At 53.8% G+C, this 17437-nt stretch overlaps 1 protein-coding gene across 5 annotated transcripts in view, besides 3 other annotated features; it reads right to left on the bottom strand.

The window, feature by feature from the left end:
• THRA (thyroid hormone receptor alpha) overlaps nucleotides 1-17437 on the bottom strand; it is a 31675-nt gene that overhangs the window by 8144 nt on the left and 6094 nt on the right. For 4 of the 5 annotated variants that reach the window (NM_001190919.2, NM_003250.6, NM_001190918.2 and 1 more), the window contains exons 2-6: nucleotides 11183-11532; nucleotides 8786-8853; nucleotides 8116-8216; nucleotides 1742-1889; nucleotides 909-1114 (exon numbers count right to left, since the gene is read on the bottom strand). In NM_001190919.2, the coding sequence (NP_001177848.1) occupies nucleotides 909-1114; nucleotides 1742-1889; nucleotides 8116-8216; nucleotides 8786-8853; nucleotides 11183-11235 (576 nt within the window). In that variant the 5' untranslated portion in view covers nucleotides 11236-11532. Of the gene's footprint in view, nucleotides 1-908; nucleotides 1115-1741; nucleotides 1890-8115; nucleotides 8217-8785; nucleotides 8854-11182; nucleotides 11533-12055; nucleotides 13136-17437 lie in introns of those variants that run through there. The other variant, XM_047436632.1, reaches the window with a different exon arrangement.
• Nucleotides 9882-9961: an enhancer, noted in NCBI's record as "active region_12123". NCBI's record gives its function as "activates an Ori minimal core promoter by ATAC-STARR-seq in GM12878 lymphoblastoid cells {active_cell/tissue: GM12878}" and the evidence as "EXISTENCE:reporter gene assay evidence [ECO:0000049][PMID:35858748]".
• Nucleotides 10085-10940: an enhancer, noted in NCBI's record as "H3K27ac-H3K4me1 hESC enhancer chr17:38231037-38231892 (GRCh37/hg19 assembly coordinates)". NCBI's record gives its function as "activates a minimal SCP1, AML or CMV promoter by ChIP-STARR-seq in naive H9 embryonic stem cells {active_cell/tissue: H9 hESC(naive)}" and the evidence as "EXISTENCE:reporter gene assay evidence [ECO:0000049][PMID:30033119]".
• Nucleotides 14221-14826: an enhancer, noted in NCBI's record as "H3K27ac-H3K4me1 hESC enhancer chr17:38227151-38227756 (GRCh37/hg19 assembly coordinates)". NCBI's record gives its function as "activates a minimal SCP1, AML or CMV promoter by ChIP-STARR-seq in naive H9 embryonic stem cells {active_cell/tissue: H9 hESC(naive)}" and the evidence as "EXISTENCE:reporter gene assay evidence [ECO:0000049][PMID:30033119]".

Genomic DNA, 17437 nt, shown 5'->3' with positions numbered 1-17437 from the left:
TGCGGTGAGCCAAGACTGTGCCACTGCACTCCAGCCTGGACAACAAGAGCGAAACTCCAACTCAAAAAAAAAAAAAAATTATTCATAGAGGGTGGGCATGGTGGCTCACATCTTGTAATCACAGCACTTTGGGAGGCCGAGGCGGGTGGATCACTTGAGGTCAGGAGTTCGAGACCAGCCTGGTCAACATGGTGAAACCCTGTCTCTACTAAAAACACAAAAATTAGCCAGGCATGGTGGCCAGTGCCTGTAATCCCAACTACTCGGGAGACGGAGGCGGGAGAATCGCTTGAACCCAGGAGGCGGAGGTTGCGGTGAGCCGAGATCGTGCCACTGCACTCTAGCCTGGGTGAGAGTGAGACTCCGTATCAAAAAAAAAAAAAATTATTCATAGAGGTGGGATCTCTGTATGTTACCCAGACTGGTCTCAAACTCCTGGGCTCAAGCGATCCTCCCACCTTGGTCTCACAAATTGCTGGGATTACAGGCATGAGCCACTGCACCTGGTCCCAAACTCATCATTTACTTAGCAACTAGCTTGACCAGGGCCTAACATAATGCCTGGCACCCAGCAGGTGCTCAAAAATACTGTGACATAACTGTATCCTTACCCTCTCCTCCCAGTCACTAAGGGCAGGAAAAAGAAGAAAGGTCGCTCCCGCTCCCTGGAAATTCGATGAGGAAGGCAAGGCCCTGTCCTCATTGAGCTCCCAGTTGGATGGAGTAGACAGTCCAGACAGCAAGGACACAAACACAAGTGTATAAAATCTGGACAGCAAAAGTGTGAAGAGTATGTATTTTGGGTTGGATTACACTAAGAAGACTTCCTGGAGGAGGCAAGACTCCGAGCTCACTCTCTTCTCCCTGCCACCTGGCTACTGCTCTCCCCATGCCCCCTTTCTCCTTACCAGGAATTTCCGCCTCTGTTTCCAATGGCTGCCCTGGGCATTGGTGCTGCGATGGGCCTCTGTGGCAATGTGGATCAGATCCCACTCTTCAGGAGTGGGCTCTGGTCGCTGCTGCAGTGATCGGATCATCTCCTCCTTCCGCCGCCGCTCCCGGTTCTGCTCAATCAGCTTACGCTTGGCCACCCGCTTCGAGTCATCTAGAACCACTGTGAACAGAGAGGCACAAGGTCTAACGCATGGCACCCTCCATCCCCTTTCCATAATGCTCCCGGAAACTACTCTTCCTAGAGTACAGGTTGGAGAAACCGAGGGCCATGGAGGCTAAATGACTTCCCAAATCACCTAGCAGTTGGGCAGCACAACCCGGATCATGATTAATCCCCGGGACCATGTCAACAACAGTTTGGGCTGATCCAGATGAATATCATGTTCTGGTCTAACGGATTATGGTGACGGTGGTTACTCGAATATCCTGCCACCCAATCCCCAGCCAATGGAAGATGCCCTGTCTCATCTAGAAGTGGGGTGCCTTCGCTGGGAGTCAAGAACAGTGTGCTAGAGTGGGTGCCCAGGAGCTCTTTCTACCAAACGACTCCCTCTCTAAGGCCCTCGAGTGTTGTAAGGCAGGTAGGCATTGGGGCCCACACAGGGATCCTGTTTCCTTTTGCGCAGGAAGGAGGACAGCAAGGACCAAGACACTGAACATTCTGACCTAGACTGGATTGCCACTCTGCCCTGTGGGCTCTGAGGGTACCCTGGAAGGAAGCTGCCCTCCCAGAACTCATCCCCACCCCAGGCCACCTGGCTCTATTCCCTCCACCTGGGCCCCTTACAGTCCATGGCCATGCCCACGGCGATGCACTTCTTGAAGCGGCACAGCTGGCACTGATTGCGGGTGATCTTGTCAATGACACAGCAGCTGTCATATTTGCAGGAATAGGTGGGATGGAGGTTCTTCTGGATTGTGCGGCGAAAGAAGCCCTGGGGTGGGGGAGATGGAGCAGGCTGTGATCATGACATGGCTTCCCCTTCCTGAACCAACCATGCAGTTTACTAGGGGTCAGGGGTGGAGAGCAAGGAAGGCAAGATCAGTGAGGGGACCTGGCATCCTCCTGACACCATGAGCCCAAGATTACTAGGCTCAAGGACCTGAGAAATATATGCCCTCAGCCCCCAGGCTGCTGAGGGGTTGGGGGTGTCTGGGTAGTGTTTGTGGCAGAGGCAGGAATGATGTCTAGAGCAGGCAGCTTTGAACCTGGGATAATGTGAGGCCTTAAGGAATAGCAGCTTTGGAAATCCAAGTCGCCGGGCGCGGTGGCGCACGCATGTAATCCCAACACTTTGGGAGGCCGAGGTGGGCAGATCAACTGAGGTCGGGAGTTCGAGACCAGCCTGACCAACATGAAGAAACCCTGTCTCTACTAAAAATAGAAAATTAGCCGGGCATGAGGTTGGGTGCAGTGGCTCATGCCTATAATCCCAGAACTTTGGGAGGCCAAGGCGGATGAATCATGAGGTCAGGAGTTCAAGATCACCCTGGCCAACATGGTGAAACCCTGTCTCTACTAAAAGTATAAAAATTGGGCGTAGGCCGGGCGCGGTGGCTTATGCCTGTAATCCCAGCACTTTGGGAGGCTGAGGCAGGCGGATCACAAGGTCAGGAGATCGAGACCATCCTGGCTAACACGGTGAAACCCTGTCTCTACTAAAAATACAAAAAAAATAGCCGGGCATGGTGGTGGGCGCTGTAGTCCCAGCTACTCGGGAGGCTGAGGCAGGAGAATGGCGTGAACCCAGGAGGTGGAGCTTGCCACGAGCCAAGATCGCGCCACTGCACTCCAGGCTGGGTGACAGAGCAAGACTCCGTATAAAAAAAAAAAAAATTACCCGGGCGTGGTGGTGGGCGCCTGTAATCCCAGCTACTCAGGAGGCTGAGGCAGAGAATTGCTTGAACCCAGGACACAGAGGTTGCAGTGAGCCAAGATCGCGCCACTGCATTCCAGCCTGGGTGACAGAATGAGACTCCATCTCAAAAAAAAAAAAAAAAAAAAAAAAAAGCATGCGATTCTATAGTGTAGCAGTTATCACATCTGCTTTACATGCAGAAGGTCCTAGGTTTGAGCCGCGGTGGAACCACGGCGGGGTCCACCCCTTGGCCGGGCGCGGTGGCTCATGCCTGTAATCCCAGCACTTTGGGAGGCCCAGGCGGGCAGACTGCCTGAAGTCAGGAGTTCAAGACCAGCCTGGCCAACATGGTGAAACCCCATCTCTACTAAAAATATAAAAATTAGCTGGGCCTGCCCCTGTAATCCCAGCTACTCGGGAGGCTGAGGCAGGAGAATCGCTTGAACCCAGGAGGTGGAGCTCGCATTGCACTCCAGCCTGGGTGACAAGAGTGAGACTTCATCTCAAAAAAGAAAAAAAAAAGAAAAAATTAGCCGGGAATGGTGGCACATGCCTGTAATCCCAGCTACTTGGGAGGCTGAGGCAGAAGAATTGCTTGAACCCAGGAAGCAGAGGTTGCGGTGAGCCAAGATTGTGCCATTGCACTCTAGTCTGGGCAACAAGAGCAAAACTCTGTCTCAAAAAAAAAAAAAAAAAAAAAAAAGGAAATCCAAGTAAAACCTCATTTTCCATTTTGCTAAATGACTTTAAAAACAACACTGACCCAAAAACCATTCTCATATATGTTGCCTGTTGTCCATGCAGGTGGAATTCATAAAACAGGGGAACCAAAAAAGTCAAGGAAAGGGACTGAGTATGAACTCTAGTAGGGGAAGAGAAAAATTTCAATTCTCTACATTGGGATTCACCTTTATTTTATTTTTTTAATTTAATTTTTTTTTTCTTTTTGAGATGAAGTTTCACTCTGTCACCCAGGCTGGAGTGCAGTGGTGTGATCTCAGCTTACTGCAACCTCCACCTCCCAGGTACAAGCAATTCTCCTGCCTCAGCCTCCCGAGTAGCTGGGACTACAGGTGCCCACCATTACGCCCGGCTAATTTTTGTATTTTTATAGAGATGGGGTTTCACCATGTTGGCCAGGCTGGTCTCGAACTCCTGACCTCAGGTGATCTGCCCACCTCGGCCTCCCAAAGTGCTGGGATTACAGGCGTGAGCCACCGCACCCAGCCTCGCCTTTATTTTAAAGGAAACACCTCAAAACTCAAGATGATTGCAATAATATGAAGAATTAGTATTTTTTCATGTTTACAATGTGTCAGTCACTTAGTAAACATAAGCCTTGCTGGCCAGGTGCAATGACTCACACCTGTAATCCCAGCACTCTGGGAGGCTGAGGCAGGCAGATCACTTGAGGCCAGGAGTTCAAGATCAAGACCAGCCTGTCCAACATAGCAAAACCCCATCTCTACTAAAAATACACAAATTGGCCAGGGGTTGTGGCGTGCACCTATAATCCCAGCTACTCTGGAGGCTGAGGTGGGAGGATTGCTTAGGATTGCTTGAGACCAGGAGGTCAAGGCTGCAGTGAGCTATGATCGCACCACTGCACTCCAACCTGGGTGACAGAGACCCCATTACAAACAAAAACAAAAACCCAAAAGATAAGCCTTGTCTTTCATGGAACATCACAGTGAACCCTCCAGACAACCCTATGAGGTAGGAACTGTTACTGCCTCCACTTTGCAGACAAGGAAACTGAAGCTTGGTGAGATGAAGCAATTTGCCCAAAGTCATGTGGCCGGTGGGCAGCAGAGTCAGAACTGGGCCTCAGGTATGGGACACCAACGTCTGAGCTCTCAGATTCCAGGGGCATTAAAATCACCAAAGGCAGCCGAGTGCGGTGGCTCACGCCTGTAATCCCAGCTCTTTGGGAGGCTGAGGTGGGTGGATCACGAGGTCAGGAGTTCAAGACCAACGTGGCCAACATCGTGAAACCTTGTCTCTACTAAAAATACAAAAAATTAGCCAGGTGAGGTGGCAGGCACCTGTAATCCCAGCTACTCAGGAGGCTGAGGCAGGACAAGTGCTTGAACCTGGGAGGCAGAGGTTGCAGTGAGCCAAGATCGCGCCACTGCACTCCAGCCTGGGTGACAGAGTGAGACTCCGTCTTGAAAAAAAAAAAAAAAAAAAAAAGTCACCAAAGGCACCTACCAAAGATACAGATTCCTGGGCCTCACTCCAGAACTACAAAATAAAACTATCCAAGGGTGGGGCCAAGGCATCTCTGTCTTTTCAGGGTGCTTCCCTGGGACTCAGATGTCCGTGAGAGTAAAAGATCCTTTCTCTATGCTACACTGTTTGTATTGCTTCCAGAAGGATTGTATTGCTTCTGCTAGGGAACTCTAAATCCCTCATGGTCTTGGTTTGGTTGACATCAAGAAAGAGAGAGAAACTTCAAGCCTTAAACTTTTTTTCCGTTTTTTTTTTTTGTTTGTTTTTTGTTTTTAAGACAGGGTCTTGTTCTGTCGCCCAGGCTGGAGTGCAATGGCTTAATCACAGCTCACAGCAGCTTCGACCTCCCAGCCTCAAGTGATCGTCCTACCTCAGCTGCCTGAGTAGCTGGGACCACAGGTGTGTGTGCACCACCATGCCTGGCTACTTTAAAAATTTTTTTGTATGGACAGGGTCTCACTATGTTGCCCAGGCTGTTCTTAAACTCCTGGGCTCAAGCAATCCTCCCACCTTGGCCTCCTAAAGTGTTTGGATTACAGGCGTGAGCTACTATACCTGGCCTTTAACATATAAATCATTCTGTTTCTTTTTTTTTTTATTTTGAGACAGAGTATCACTCTGTCGCTCTGTCACCCAGGCTGGAGTACACTGACTTAATCTCCACTCTCACTGTAACCTCCATCTCCCAAGTTCAAGAGATTCTCCTGCCTCAGCCTCCCAAGTAGGTGGGATTACAGGCGTACATCACTACACCTGGCCAATTTTGGTATTTTTAGTAGAGACAGGCTTTTACCATGTTGGCCAGGATGGTCTCAAATTCCTGACCTTACTCATTCGTTCATTTGCTCATTCATAATCCCTCCTCTGTCACTCACAAGAAAATTGCCTAACTTCTCTGAGTCTCAGTTTCTTCATCTATAAAATGGGGATAATCATTTTATCTACCTTATAGCACTGTTGGGAGAATTAAATGAGACAATTCACTTGAAGTGTTTAAAACAGTGCCACCGGGTGTGGTAACCTCAGGTGATCTGCCTGCCTTGGACTCCCAAAGTGCTGGGATTTAAATAATTCTGTTTCTTGGAAGGCCTTGCATTTTTAGGAGGTGATCCTGGAAAGGCTATCCAGGCTGAAATGATCAAAGTGAAATCTAATTAGGCCTCTTAAGCACTTTGGGATGCAGAGGCAGGCAGATCACCTGAGGTCAGGAGTTCGAGACCAGCCTGGCTAACATGGTGAAACCCTATCTCTACTAAAAATACAAAAATTAGCCAGGCTTGGTGGCAGGTGTCTGTAATCCCAGCTACCAATGCTGAAGCAGGGAGAATTGCTTGAACCCGAGAGGTGGAGGTTGCAGTGAGCCAAGATTGCACCACTGCACTCCAGGCTGGGCAACAGAGCGAGACTCCATCTCAAAAAAAACAAAACAAAACAATTAGGCCTCCCAAAATCTATGACCTTGTCATCCCCTCTGCCTGGAAGAACCTGCTGTCCTCTTCTCCTCTGTGCTCCCAGCTCCCACTACCCCCCCAGTACTGGCTCTCGCTCTTTCAGGTGCATGGGAAACACTCCGGGATTCTGTTAAAAGGAAGATTCCTGGGCTCCACAAAAGGGCTCTGAGTGAGCAGGGTTAAGATGAAGCCTGGGCAGGCTGGGCGCAGTGGCTCACACCTGTAACCCCAGCACTTTGGGAGGCCAAGGCGGGCGGATCACGAGGTCAAGAGATCAAGACCATCCTGGTCAACATGGTGAAACCCTGTCTCTATTAAAAATATAAAAGTTAGCTGGGCGTGGTGGCAGGTGCCTGTAGTCCCAGCCACTCAGGAGGCTGAAGCAGGAGAATCGCTTGAACCCGGGAGGCGAAGGTTGCAGTGAGCCGAGATCACACCATTGCACTCCAACCTGGGCAACAGAGCGAGATGCCATCTCAAAAAAAAAAAAAAAAAAAAAAGATGAAGGCTGGGAATCTGCATTTTAACTAGTAGGACAGGTGGTCCATGAACCACATTTTGAATAACACTGATGTTTGTTTCAAGTTGTGTCTCTCTCTCTGACAGGCTGTGAGCAGCTTGAAGGCGAGGTACGTACTACACTCTCACACCTAAGAATACACTGAATGAATGGGTGATGGCTGGCATTTATCAAATGCTTCTTATGCACATGGCACTATTTTTTATTTTATTTTATTATTTTACTTTGAGACAGAATCTTGCTCTGTCACCCAGGCCGGAGTGCAGTGGCGCCACCACCGTTCAATGCAGCCCTGACCTTCTGGGTTCAAGCAGTCTCCCACCTCAGCCTCCTGAGTAGCTGGGACCACAGGCATGTGGCACCACACCCAGCTAATTTCTTTAATTTTGTAGAGACAGTGTCTCACTGTGTTAGCTAGGCTGGTCTCAAACTCCTGGGATCAAGGGATGCTCCCGCCTTGGCCTCCCTCCCAAAGGGCTGGGATTTTAGGCATGAGCCACAGCACCCAATGGCACTGTTTTAAACACTTCAAGTGAACTATCTCCCAACATATTTAATTCTCCCAACAATGCTATAAGGTAGAGAGAATGATTATCCTCATTTTATAGATGAAGAAACTGAAACTAAGGCTCGAAGAAGTTAGGCAATTTTCCTGTGAGTGGCAGAGGAGGAGTTATGAATGAGTAAATGAATGAATAAGAGAAGAGAAGAGAAAGTAACCAGGCAGGTATGCCTGTAATCCCAGCACTTCAGGAGGCTGAGACGGGTGGTCACCTGAGGTCAGGAGTTCGAGACCAGCCTGGCCACATAGTGAAACCCCGTCTCTACTAAAAATACAAAAAAACTAGCTGGGTGTGGAGGTGCATACCTGTAATCCCAGCTACTCAGGAGGCCGAGGTAGGGGAATCACTTGAACCTGAAGGCGGAGGTTGCAGTGAGCCATGATCGCGCCACTGCACTCCAGCCTGGGGGACAAGAGTGAGACTCCGTCTCAAAGAAAAAAAAAAAAAGTGATGACCTAACAGGCGGGCTTTAGGTGACATAGGGAGTAATATGGGGGCTCAGGTGGCAGGGGAGGGGCAGGAGGTAGCTTCCATACCTTGCAGCCCTCACAAGTGATACAGCGGTAGTGATAACCAGTTGCCTTGTCCCCACACACGACACACTGCTCGTCTTTGTCCAGGTAACTAGGGATATACCCTGGGAGGAAGGAAAGGATGGAGGAAGGCAGGCATGGCTTGGAGTCCCAGCAGAGAGGCTCTCACACTTTTCCCCATCCCTCAACTTTTTGTTTCTGACCCCTCTCCTAGCCCAGCCTCCCTGGTAGAATCCTAGAGAGACACGAGGTGAACCTGTCCATCTCTGCCCTAAGAGTATGAAGAATCTCAGTTCTTCTGACTGCCCATTCAGGGCTTTCTTCTTGATCTATCTACAAGGCAGAGGATGGTGGAGAGGGAAAAATAAACGTCAGCTGCTCACTGGGGATAATACAGCCCCTCAGTCCTTCAGCTCAGGCCCTGATTCTGGTAGGGCCTCAGATGAGGGTATTAGGGGAAGAGGGAAGAGGCCGTCCTGACCTAATCCACCCTCAAAAGCTGGGCACATCCCACATTACCTTTCTCACCCCCAGACAAGTCCATCCCAAGCCCTCTAGGAGGCTCCCCCCAGGGAACACATGAATTACTGTTCCACATCCAGGTCCAGAGGAGCCCTGGCTGGGTTTGGTGGGGTTGGGGACGTGGAGAAGGGGCACGCACAGCCAGCCTCACCTGACATGCTGGTTTTCAGGGAACATTGGCCGTTCTTTCTTTTTCGCTTTCCATCTGGTGACCTGGCACTGGATGGAGGCAAAGTGGGCAGAATCACAGAGCAGTCTTCGAGTAGCCCCTTTCTCATCCGAGAGGCTTATGCAATCCCCCAAGGCCTGATTCTTTCCATTTTGTGTCCTCATTCTACCTCCCACCCCCCAGGGTCAGCTGACAATGCTTAAAAGGGTCCAGTTATCTGGAAGTTGCAGGGGAGAGAGATAAGGGGCTTGGCTGTGGCACAAGCATATTCTAGAGCCCCAACACACACACATTCACCCGCCAGAAGACCTGAAGCACCCATAATCTGCAGGACATCCTCATCTTTCAGTACATGACGAATACGCTGGAAGAATTCTCAGGATATGCTTAAAGCTATGTAGCCTTTAGAACACACACATACATATGCAACATAACACCGGCACAGATGAATAACCATGCAACCTTCACTATAAACCCATGGATGGTGAGTATGCACCAGGGCCAACATACCTGTGAAATTTTCAGGGCATTCTTAAATGTGCTATACAACCTCTAGGATATGCCCATGTGTTACACAACACTCTGCACAGGCACCTCATAAAACCACCCTCATCCCTCCAGTGTGCACGTGTTGCTTGAGCTCCAGGTCATACACACATGCTAAATAACCCACAGCAATAGAAAACACTACACCCTCTGCACAGCCTCCATTTAACAGAGCAGCAAACTGAGACCCTGCTTGTGCCTGGTGACACCATGAGCTAGAGTCAGAGCCGGGACTGAGCCCCTCTGTGCAGCGTATTATTAGCAACCCTCAGCCACTGCACATATATGTTGCCAGGCTCTCCACATACATGTTGCATAACCTCGGTGCACACAGGTTACATAAGCCCTCTACATGCATGCAAGGATTGTATAACCTCCCGCACCCACCCTGCGTGTGGCATGTTGCAGGCCCCTTCCTCCTGGAGCCGGATGCAGCTCCCAACACACTGACACAGTGACCTTGGCCAGGGTCACAGTCACAGACAACCCTATGCTCCACGCCCCGTGGGGATTACTCCGGTCTACTTCCTATGAGGCTGAAAGGTCAGGTCTCCCTCACGCCTCCCAGAGGGTTGGGTGCAGGGGAACTCAGCCCACCTAGGCCCCAGTTGAGCTAGCGGCTTCAGCAGTTACCACCAGACTCACAGCCTCTGAGTGTAGTCCTAGAGATAGCCACAAGGTGGCGCATAGACATGGGGGAGGGGAAGGTGATGGGGGAGGGGTTGCAGTCTTAGGAGACTGGGAACTGGCATTCCTGCCTTTCTCCAAACATTAAGCACAGACTCTTCCAGACCCACAGAAGCCTAAGCTGGGAGACACAGGGGCTGCAAGTGACAGCCACACAGCGACAGGCCAGATCGTCCTCAGAGTCCTTCCTGGGGTGAGGCTTTGGGGGAGGGGAGCTACCCCATGCCCTGCCCAGCTGTGAGTTCCATCTACTTCCTCTACCCTCCAGGGACCCAGTTGTGGGCCTTAGGGCTTTGCCTGGCCAGGCCTCTGGCTTCCTGGCTCGGGATCTGATCTCCTAGGCAACAGTCAGCCACACTGCTCCCCGGAGCACCCCCACCCCCACCCTCTCCCTGGCCATAGGCACAGGCTGTACCCAGCTCCCAGGGCACCGTGCCAACTGGGACAAAGCTCTGTGCCACTTGGAGCTGATAGAAAAGACAGAGACCCTCTGGGCTCCTCAAGGGCAATGCAGATCACAGGTAACCATCCCTTGGTGTATGTGCAGGGCTGACACCTCACCCATGTGGAAGCAAAACCATCATGGTTGGCGTGCACTTTCTGGGAGGAGCCCCATCGCAGTGCCCGCCCTTGACCATGAACAAGGAAGAGCTTGTGGGGCTCCCAATAGATTCCGAATATAAGCTTGGGCTATGACCAATAGTTACTGGTGCATGTGCCCTGAAATGTATTACGTGAACCGCAGCTTGTGGACAACACACTTGTGGTCAGATAGTAAATGGGCTGGTAGGGAGAGGAAGAAAATGGCAAGGCTGTTTGGATCCCACATGCTCAAGGTAAGGGCAGCAATGGTGGAAGGGACGTTGGGGGCATCTGAGACTGCCCAGCAATGTCTAGGGAAGAGCCCCTTATGTGCTCCCTGTAATTGCTCTGTATCGCTCCCCGCTTCAAAATGAGCATCTCTCAATCCAAGTGCCTGTCACATCTGAACATGACTTCATCTGCCAGACAAAGGTAGGCAGAAGGCTTGCTGGCCTCACGTCCATCCCACAGAGGTGCTTAAAGGCGGTGCCTAAAGGAGAGCTCAGCCAGGTGCCCATGCCTGCTGCTTAGGAGTTGGCATGACCTAGTTGCTGAACCCATTACCTGTTCTCCTCTGGGTCTGACCCACACTCCACCTTGCTTGGCTTCTGTTCCATTCACTTCAATTCCATCCAGGATGCCCTCCAGCACGCCAAGAGACTGGGGTGGGCACACTGGCCCCCCCGGCACACCCACAGGCCACCCACCCCCTGCCACCCAGGCCCTAGGGCACAGCACCCATGATACCCGCCTCAGCACTTGGCCTTTCACACCATGCCCTGCGCCCCAAGGGGGGCGGGCGGTGGGAGGGGCCAGGGAGTGGCAGGTGGGAGGGCTGGGGGCAAGCTGGGTTTGTGGGTCCCGGGCTGTGTGCTGGGGGAGTAGCTTCGGAGTCTTGTCCTGTCCAGAGATCCCTGTGGAGAGAAGAGAGAGGCAGGGGTAAGAAGGTGTCACGGTAGGAAGGTGGGTAGGATCCCTTTGGTGGCAACATTTGGGGCTTTGGGATCCCATAACAAGACAGCAGGGGGCAGGAAGGGCAGGCATAGAGAGGGGACCAGGATGATCCCTTAGATAACAGGTACAGCAGGCGAGATTGGAGATCCACCTCCTAAGCCCCAGACATGGGAAGGAATGGAGGGAGAGAATGAGATCATTCATGTACTAAGTAATATGTCTCAGTCTTCATATTCAGACAAATGCCTGGCCCTTAATGAGCAACTATTAAACACTAGCTATTGTTACCACCCCTCTAGAAAAGCTTTCCTGAAACTCATCTGTATTATAGGGGCAAGAGGGGACCAGAGACAAGCAGTTTTCAGCATAGGCAGGGAGGGTATCTGTGAAGGAAGGATGGGACATAGAGCGGCACGCAGTGAGCATGAATGCCCATCTTTGTGCCTTAATAGAGAGAGATGTTGAAAGCTGTAGGGAACTGACCTCCCATGCTGCCAGCCAAGTTATGATCCCCAACTCTGGCCCCTCAGGGACTCCAGAGCTTCCCACGCAAGGTCTCGAATCCCACTTCCCAGGCAGAGGACCAGACTTCTCAGTTGGTTTAGCTGAGCTGCTATCGACCAGGATGGCAAGGGGGAAAGGAAAGGAAACTAACACATATTAACTGGAGAGAGAATCTGTACCCTCCAAAGAGGGCACGAGAACTTCACAGATGAGGAAACTGAGTCTCAGAAAGCTTGGTCATTCACTCAAGTTCACACAACTAGTAAGCAGGTGGCTGTGGGATAAGCCTCACAGCCTGGCCCTAATGCTAGCCTTGTTCTGCTACCTGGAGTCCAGGGCAGTGCCAAGCCGGGCCCACCATTCCTACGGCATTGCACCTCTGACCCTGGGCTGCAGACCTGTGGCTTACTGTCTGTGTGCACACAGGCAGGTGTGGCGGGTAGGAGGGGGACAAAGGGTACAGCTCCCCAACATACGACCTCAACCTCTGTCACGTGGCTGCTGCATAGGAGACCTCACCCCTAGGCCCCCTGGCCCCACCCCCAGGAGCTGATAAGCAGCCAGGGTGGGAAGAGAGAGGGAGATAAGTCAGGGGATTGGGCAGGGCCAGCAGCAGAACGGGGCCTCTGCACCCAGGCAAGCTGGTAGTGTGGAGAGCATGGGCATTGCACAGAAAAGTGGCCCGTTCTACCTCTGATACCCACCCCAGACCAGGACTGGGCACTGGGGGCTGGACAGGAGACTGGGGTGGGGGGGCATGAGCAGGGAGCCTTAGCCCAGGGAGCCATCAAGAAAGTAGGTCAAGTTTTTCTTGGCTTGTGGAGAAATTCCTGTTATAAATTTATAATGGCGTAGCCAGCCCTAAGGGGTGGAGGTTGGGGAGGAGAAGGAGTGGGTGGGGAAGCCCAGGGGCTGGGCACTGGGGCCTAATGCTCTCAGCCAGACAGTGAGGGGCAGGGGGCGAGGGCCGCTACGGGGGTTGGGCTGGACAATAGAGGACGATCTTCTGACTCCACGTCCAGCGAGGCTGCCTGCATGTCTGTCTGTCTGTCTGTGTCTGAATGTCTCTCTCTCCGGGTCTGGGTGTCTCCGTCTGCCCCCCAGGCTGTGCCTCGGTGCTTGGCACACCCTGGCTGTGGTGCTGCCCCCGCCTGTCTCCTGCCCGCCTGGCACACTGCCACCACTTGTTTACAGAAGCTGGAAAAATCCACTCGCCAGCCGGAGGCCCAAGCGCCCCCAGGGAGGGGAGGAGGCAAGCACAGGAGTGGGCATGCTGAGAGAGGGGCAGCCCCGGGGAGCAGGTCCTGGGGGCAGCCGAGGAGGACCAGTGTGTGCAGGAATGAGCACTGGCTGCTGTGGGCCGGGCCAGGCGGGGAACACCAGTGGCAGCCACATGGCATGGGCAGCTCCTGCCCCAGGCCAGGGCTCCTGAGGGTCCCCTCCCCCAGGCCCCTGCCACTTACCAGTTGCTACATTGCAGACCTGGAGCAGTGCCAACCTAAGCCACCATGTTTATTTCCCCATCCCTCTCTCCTGCCCAGCCTTAACTCCAAATGTGTCTGGGTACTGCCAAGGGCCTGCACGTGCCCACTGGGGGGAGGGGCAGACTCGCTCTCTGCCCCACCCCTCTTTTGAACTGAATGGTGCCCTGGTGCTGGGCAGTGCAGCCCAGCTACAGTCAGCCCCTGGTAGTGGGCAGAGGAGCAAGGTGCTGCCCTTGCTGCCTAGGGCACCCTCACTGGGTACCCAGAAAGAGGCTGGAACCCCTGGGGACTCCTTGGCATCTCTCCAGGGACACACTTGGGCCTTTGGGGTGATACAGAGGCGAGGCAGAGGGCCCAGCATGTGGGGAGACACATACCACATGAGCCTGTGTTAGCCACGGACAGAAAAAGGTCAGCGGGTAAGGGGCATGGGGCAGGGGTACCCACCCTGAAGGGCAGCCTCTCACCCCTCCTCCAGAGTCCAGCTTAACTCCCCAAACTCCTTCCTGGTACCTCCTCTGCAGAGGCGAGGGAGGCCCTGCCCCAAGGAGGCCGAGGGGGCGGAGCTATGGGGTTCTGTGCCCAGGCTGGACAGCAGGACAGCAAGACCCACCTGTCGGCTGGCCTGGCCACCCACTCCCTCCTTGTGAGATAAGAGCTGCTGGGAGGCAGTGTAGGCAAAGTGCCCGTGGAGGGGGAAGCATTTCATTAAGCTTAAGTACTTCTGCCATGGGGGGACAGGGACACGGGGCCAATGCGGCATCCACGGGCGCCCCGCCAGGTTCCCACTGCCGAGCCGTCCCACTCTGCAGTCCTGTATATCTGAGGACACCCCCAAAGGACTCCTGGGGCTGCCAGAGGGGAGTTTCTGTCCCCAGGATCTAACCCCCAATACTACCCGCATTAACCCTCCTGCGTATCTGCTCTGGGCTTTGGCCCCACCTTTCTGGGGCCCCTGAACTTTGTCCTTAGTGCTCTGAAGAAAGCCCAGCCCTCCTTGCCAGCCACAGGGACACGTACATGCGGGGCGGCTGAGAAAAGGGTGGAAAGATGGGAGGAGGGGTAAAAAGGCTGGTGGGGGAAAGAGGGAAGAAGGGAGGAGGGGGAAGAACAAAGAAATGGGACAGGGCTGGGGTAGAGCTAGGGGTGACAAGGCAGTAGAGGGAGAGGAAGAAAGGGGAGCCAGAGATGGGGGATGGGGAGAAGGGGTGAGGTAGAAAGGAGGACAGATAAAGGGAGGAGAGACACATGAAGGAGGGGAGACAAAGAGAGAAAGGTAACAAAGAAAGATGGGTGGGGGGCTTCGTACCCTGTCTAAGTCCCACCCCATGCAGGCTGGGGGGAGGGGGGCGTAGGAATGGTTTCCACGGTGACAGCTGGTTCTTGGTGGCCTGGCATGTGGGCTATTAATAGTTCTGTGGGTAGGTTCACACCTCCCTCTCCCCTTCCCCTCTGCCTGCTGCTAGGGTGGGGGGAGATCCCTCCCCCACCACCCACTCCTGATCACCCAGCCTCCCACCATGGGAGCCAGGAAGGGCGATGCTGAGGGGCCGGGGCGGCCACCGTGGCCCAGACACATAAATGGGCATGCATGGGCACAGGCGTCTATGGGCAGCACTGCCCCCCATGCCAACACGGGCACCACAGGCAGCCACCCACACCAAGGGCCCCTGGGAGTCTGTGGTGGTGGCAGTGCTGCAGCAGCGACATGTGCCCCCATGCTGAGGGGCAGAGGCCTCTCTAGGACCGGGACTCCCTGTCCTTTCCCATACCCCCTGTTCTATTCTCAGGTATGGATTGAGCAGGGCTGCCCCACCCAACTCTCTGTTATCCTAGTGCCAGGAAGGAGAGGAGGAGTGAAGGCGGGAAGGAAGGTACTATTTGGCAGGTGTGATGTGGCAGAGGAGTACACACAGACTCAGGGCCCCAGCCTGGCAGGCATGGGGGAGACGGGAGGAGGGGAGGCGGCACCCCTTGGTGAGCTCTCACTGGGCCCCCAGGAGACAGGTTCTGGAGCTGGGGGGCAGTGACTCATCACCTAGCCACTGTGGGACCTTAGAGGCTAGAGAATGGGAGATGGGGTGGGGATCCTCATAAGGGGGAGATTGGTTACTTAAACAAAGGATCCTCCCCACCCCGCCCCAAAAGAATATAACAGGAAACCCCCCCTGCAGGTCAGAGACAGAAAGACATAAACAGCAGCCTTGACTTGGGCCAGATGCCCAGTATTAACATCAAAGACTGCTTCCCACTCGGCTCCCCCATAGCCTCACCCACCTGCTGCTCTCCTCTCCCTCCTCCTGCCCGGGCCAGCTCCAGCCAGGCATCAAGGTGGGTGCCCAGGTCTGGAGGTCTCCTCCCAGGTCACATCCATCCCCCATGACCACTGGTGGGTGGTCATGCCCACACCCATGCTGGAGAACTCAGCCCCTCCTTATCAGCCCACAGAACTTCACGCCCCCCCTGCCCAATTCCCCTCAGGAATGGAGGCAGGAGATCCAAGTAGCCAAGAAAGCAGAAGCAGGAGCACCCCCAAGCTGGGCACGGCACATTCTCCCCACCCTCCCCCAGCAGCCAGCGGGTAATTGGAGCTGGGAGCTGGGGCAGCTGAATGCTGGAGGCATGAATGTCACGGGGCCAAGGCACTTGCTGCAGATGGCACCATGGGCACAAGGCTTGGGGTCCTCCCTCCTCACTCCCTCATCTAAGGCAGTAGAAGAAGTTGCCTGCAAGCCCTGAAGAGCATGGCCTAGGAGGGGAGGGAATGGTGGAGGGGGAAAGAAAGGGAGGGATGTTCTCCCAGGCACCCCAGAGGCTGGAGCTAGCCCCTAACCAAGCAGAACTGGCAGAGGCAGAGAGAGAGAGACAGAGACAGAGACAGAGAGACAGGGACAGAAAGGGAGGAGGGAGGGAATAGGAAGGAGGGAGGAAGGGGGAGGGAAGAGAGAAAGATTGAGAGTGTGTGTGTGAGAGAGAGAGAGGGAGGGAGAGAAGGAGGGAGAGACAGAGAGGGGGAGGGGGAGAGAGAGAGGGAGAGGGAAGAGGAAGGGAGGGAGGGAGAGAGAGAGGGAGGGAGAGAGGGAGGGAGAGAGCGCGCGCGTGAATGCAGCTGAGTCTCCGGCACACACACGGACACGTGCAGACACACACACTCACCCCGCATGCGCAGAGCCACAGGGCTCTGGGTACCGTTCCAGGAGATATTCAGAGCCCTCCCCAGCCCACACATGCACAAAAACACTCTCACATGGATGCGTGCACAACACACCCACTCACTGATGTGTACAAAAATGCCGAAAGACACCAAAGCCTCGGTTCCCCTGTTTCCCCACCCCCATGCCTGGTAAAAGAGAAAAAGAAACAGGCAGCTGGGGCTCTGGGAGCCAAGAGCCGATCTCTTCTTTAGAAGAGGAAAAGAGGAGGAGGAGGAGGTGGGCCAGGGGCTTGGTCCAATCATTCTGCTCTTGGCCACTGCTGAGGGGCATGGCTGAGGCTTTGGTATCAACCTTTAATGCCCACCCCCAAAACAGCGAAGCAAGGATAGTATTTCCTGGGCACCAGTAACACCCATCTTGCTTCCCTTGTCTACCCAGCAAACTTCTGACCCTCCCTCTGGACCACCTCACGCAATGGCATACCGGAGGGAGGTCCCTATGACCCCAGCTTTGGCCTGCCAAGTGACACCAAGGTGGAACCACATGTGCCCCCACCACACACCAGCCCCAGATACTTCAGTGAGAGACTGAGAACTGTCTCTGGTTCCAGGCAGCATGTGTATGCCCCACCCTGGCATGTGCCAGGCCCTGGGAAAAAAGGAGAATCCACAGGCATTGCTCACCATGCCAGGATGCAACATGGATTGAACACAGGGGTCATC

Source organism: Homo sapiens, chromosome 17, assembly GCF_000001405.40.
Source record: "Homo sapiens chromosome 17, GRCh38.p14 Primary Assembly".
NCBI lineage: Eukaryota > Metazoa > Chordata > Mammalia > Primates > Hominidae > Homo > Homo sapiens.
Note: the sequence above shows the minus strand (reverse complement) of the source record. Positions and strands in the feature narration are given on the sequence as shown.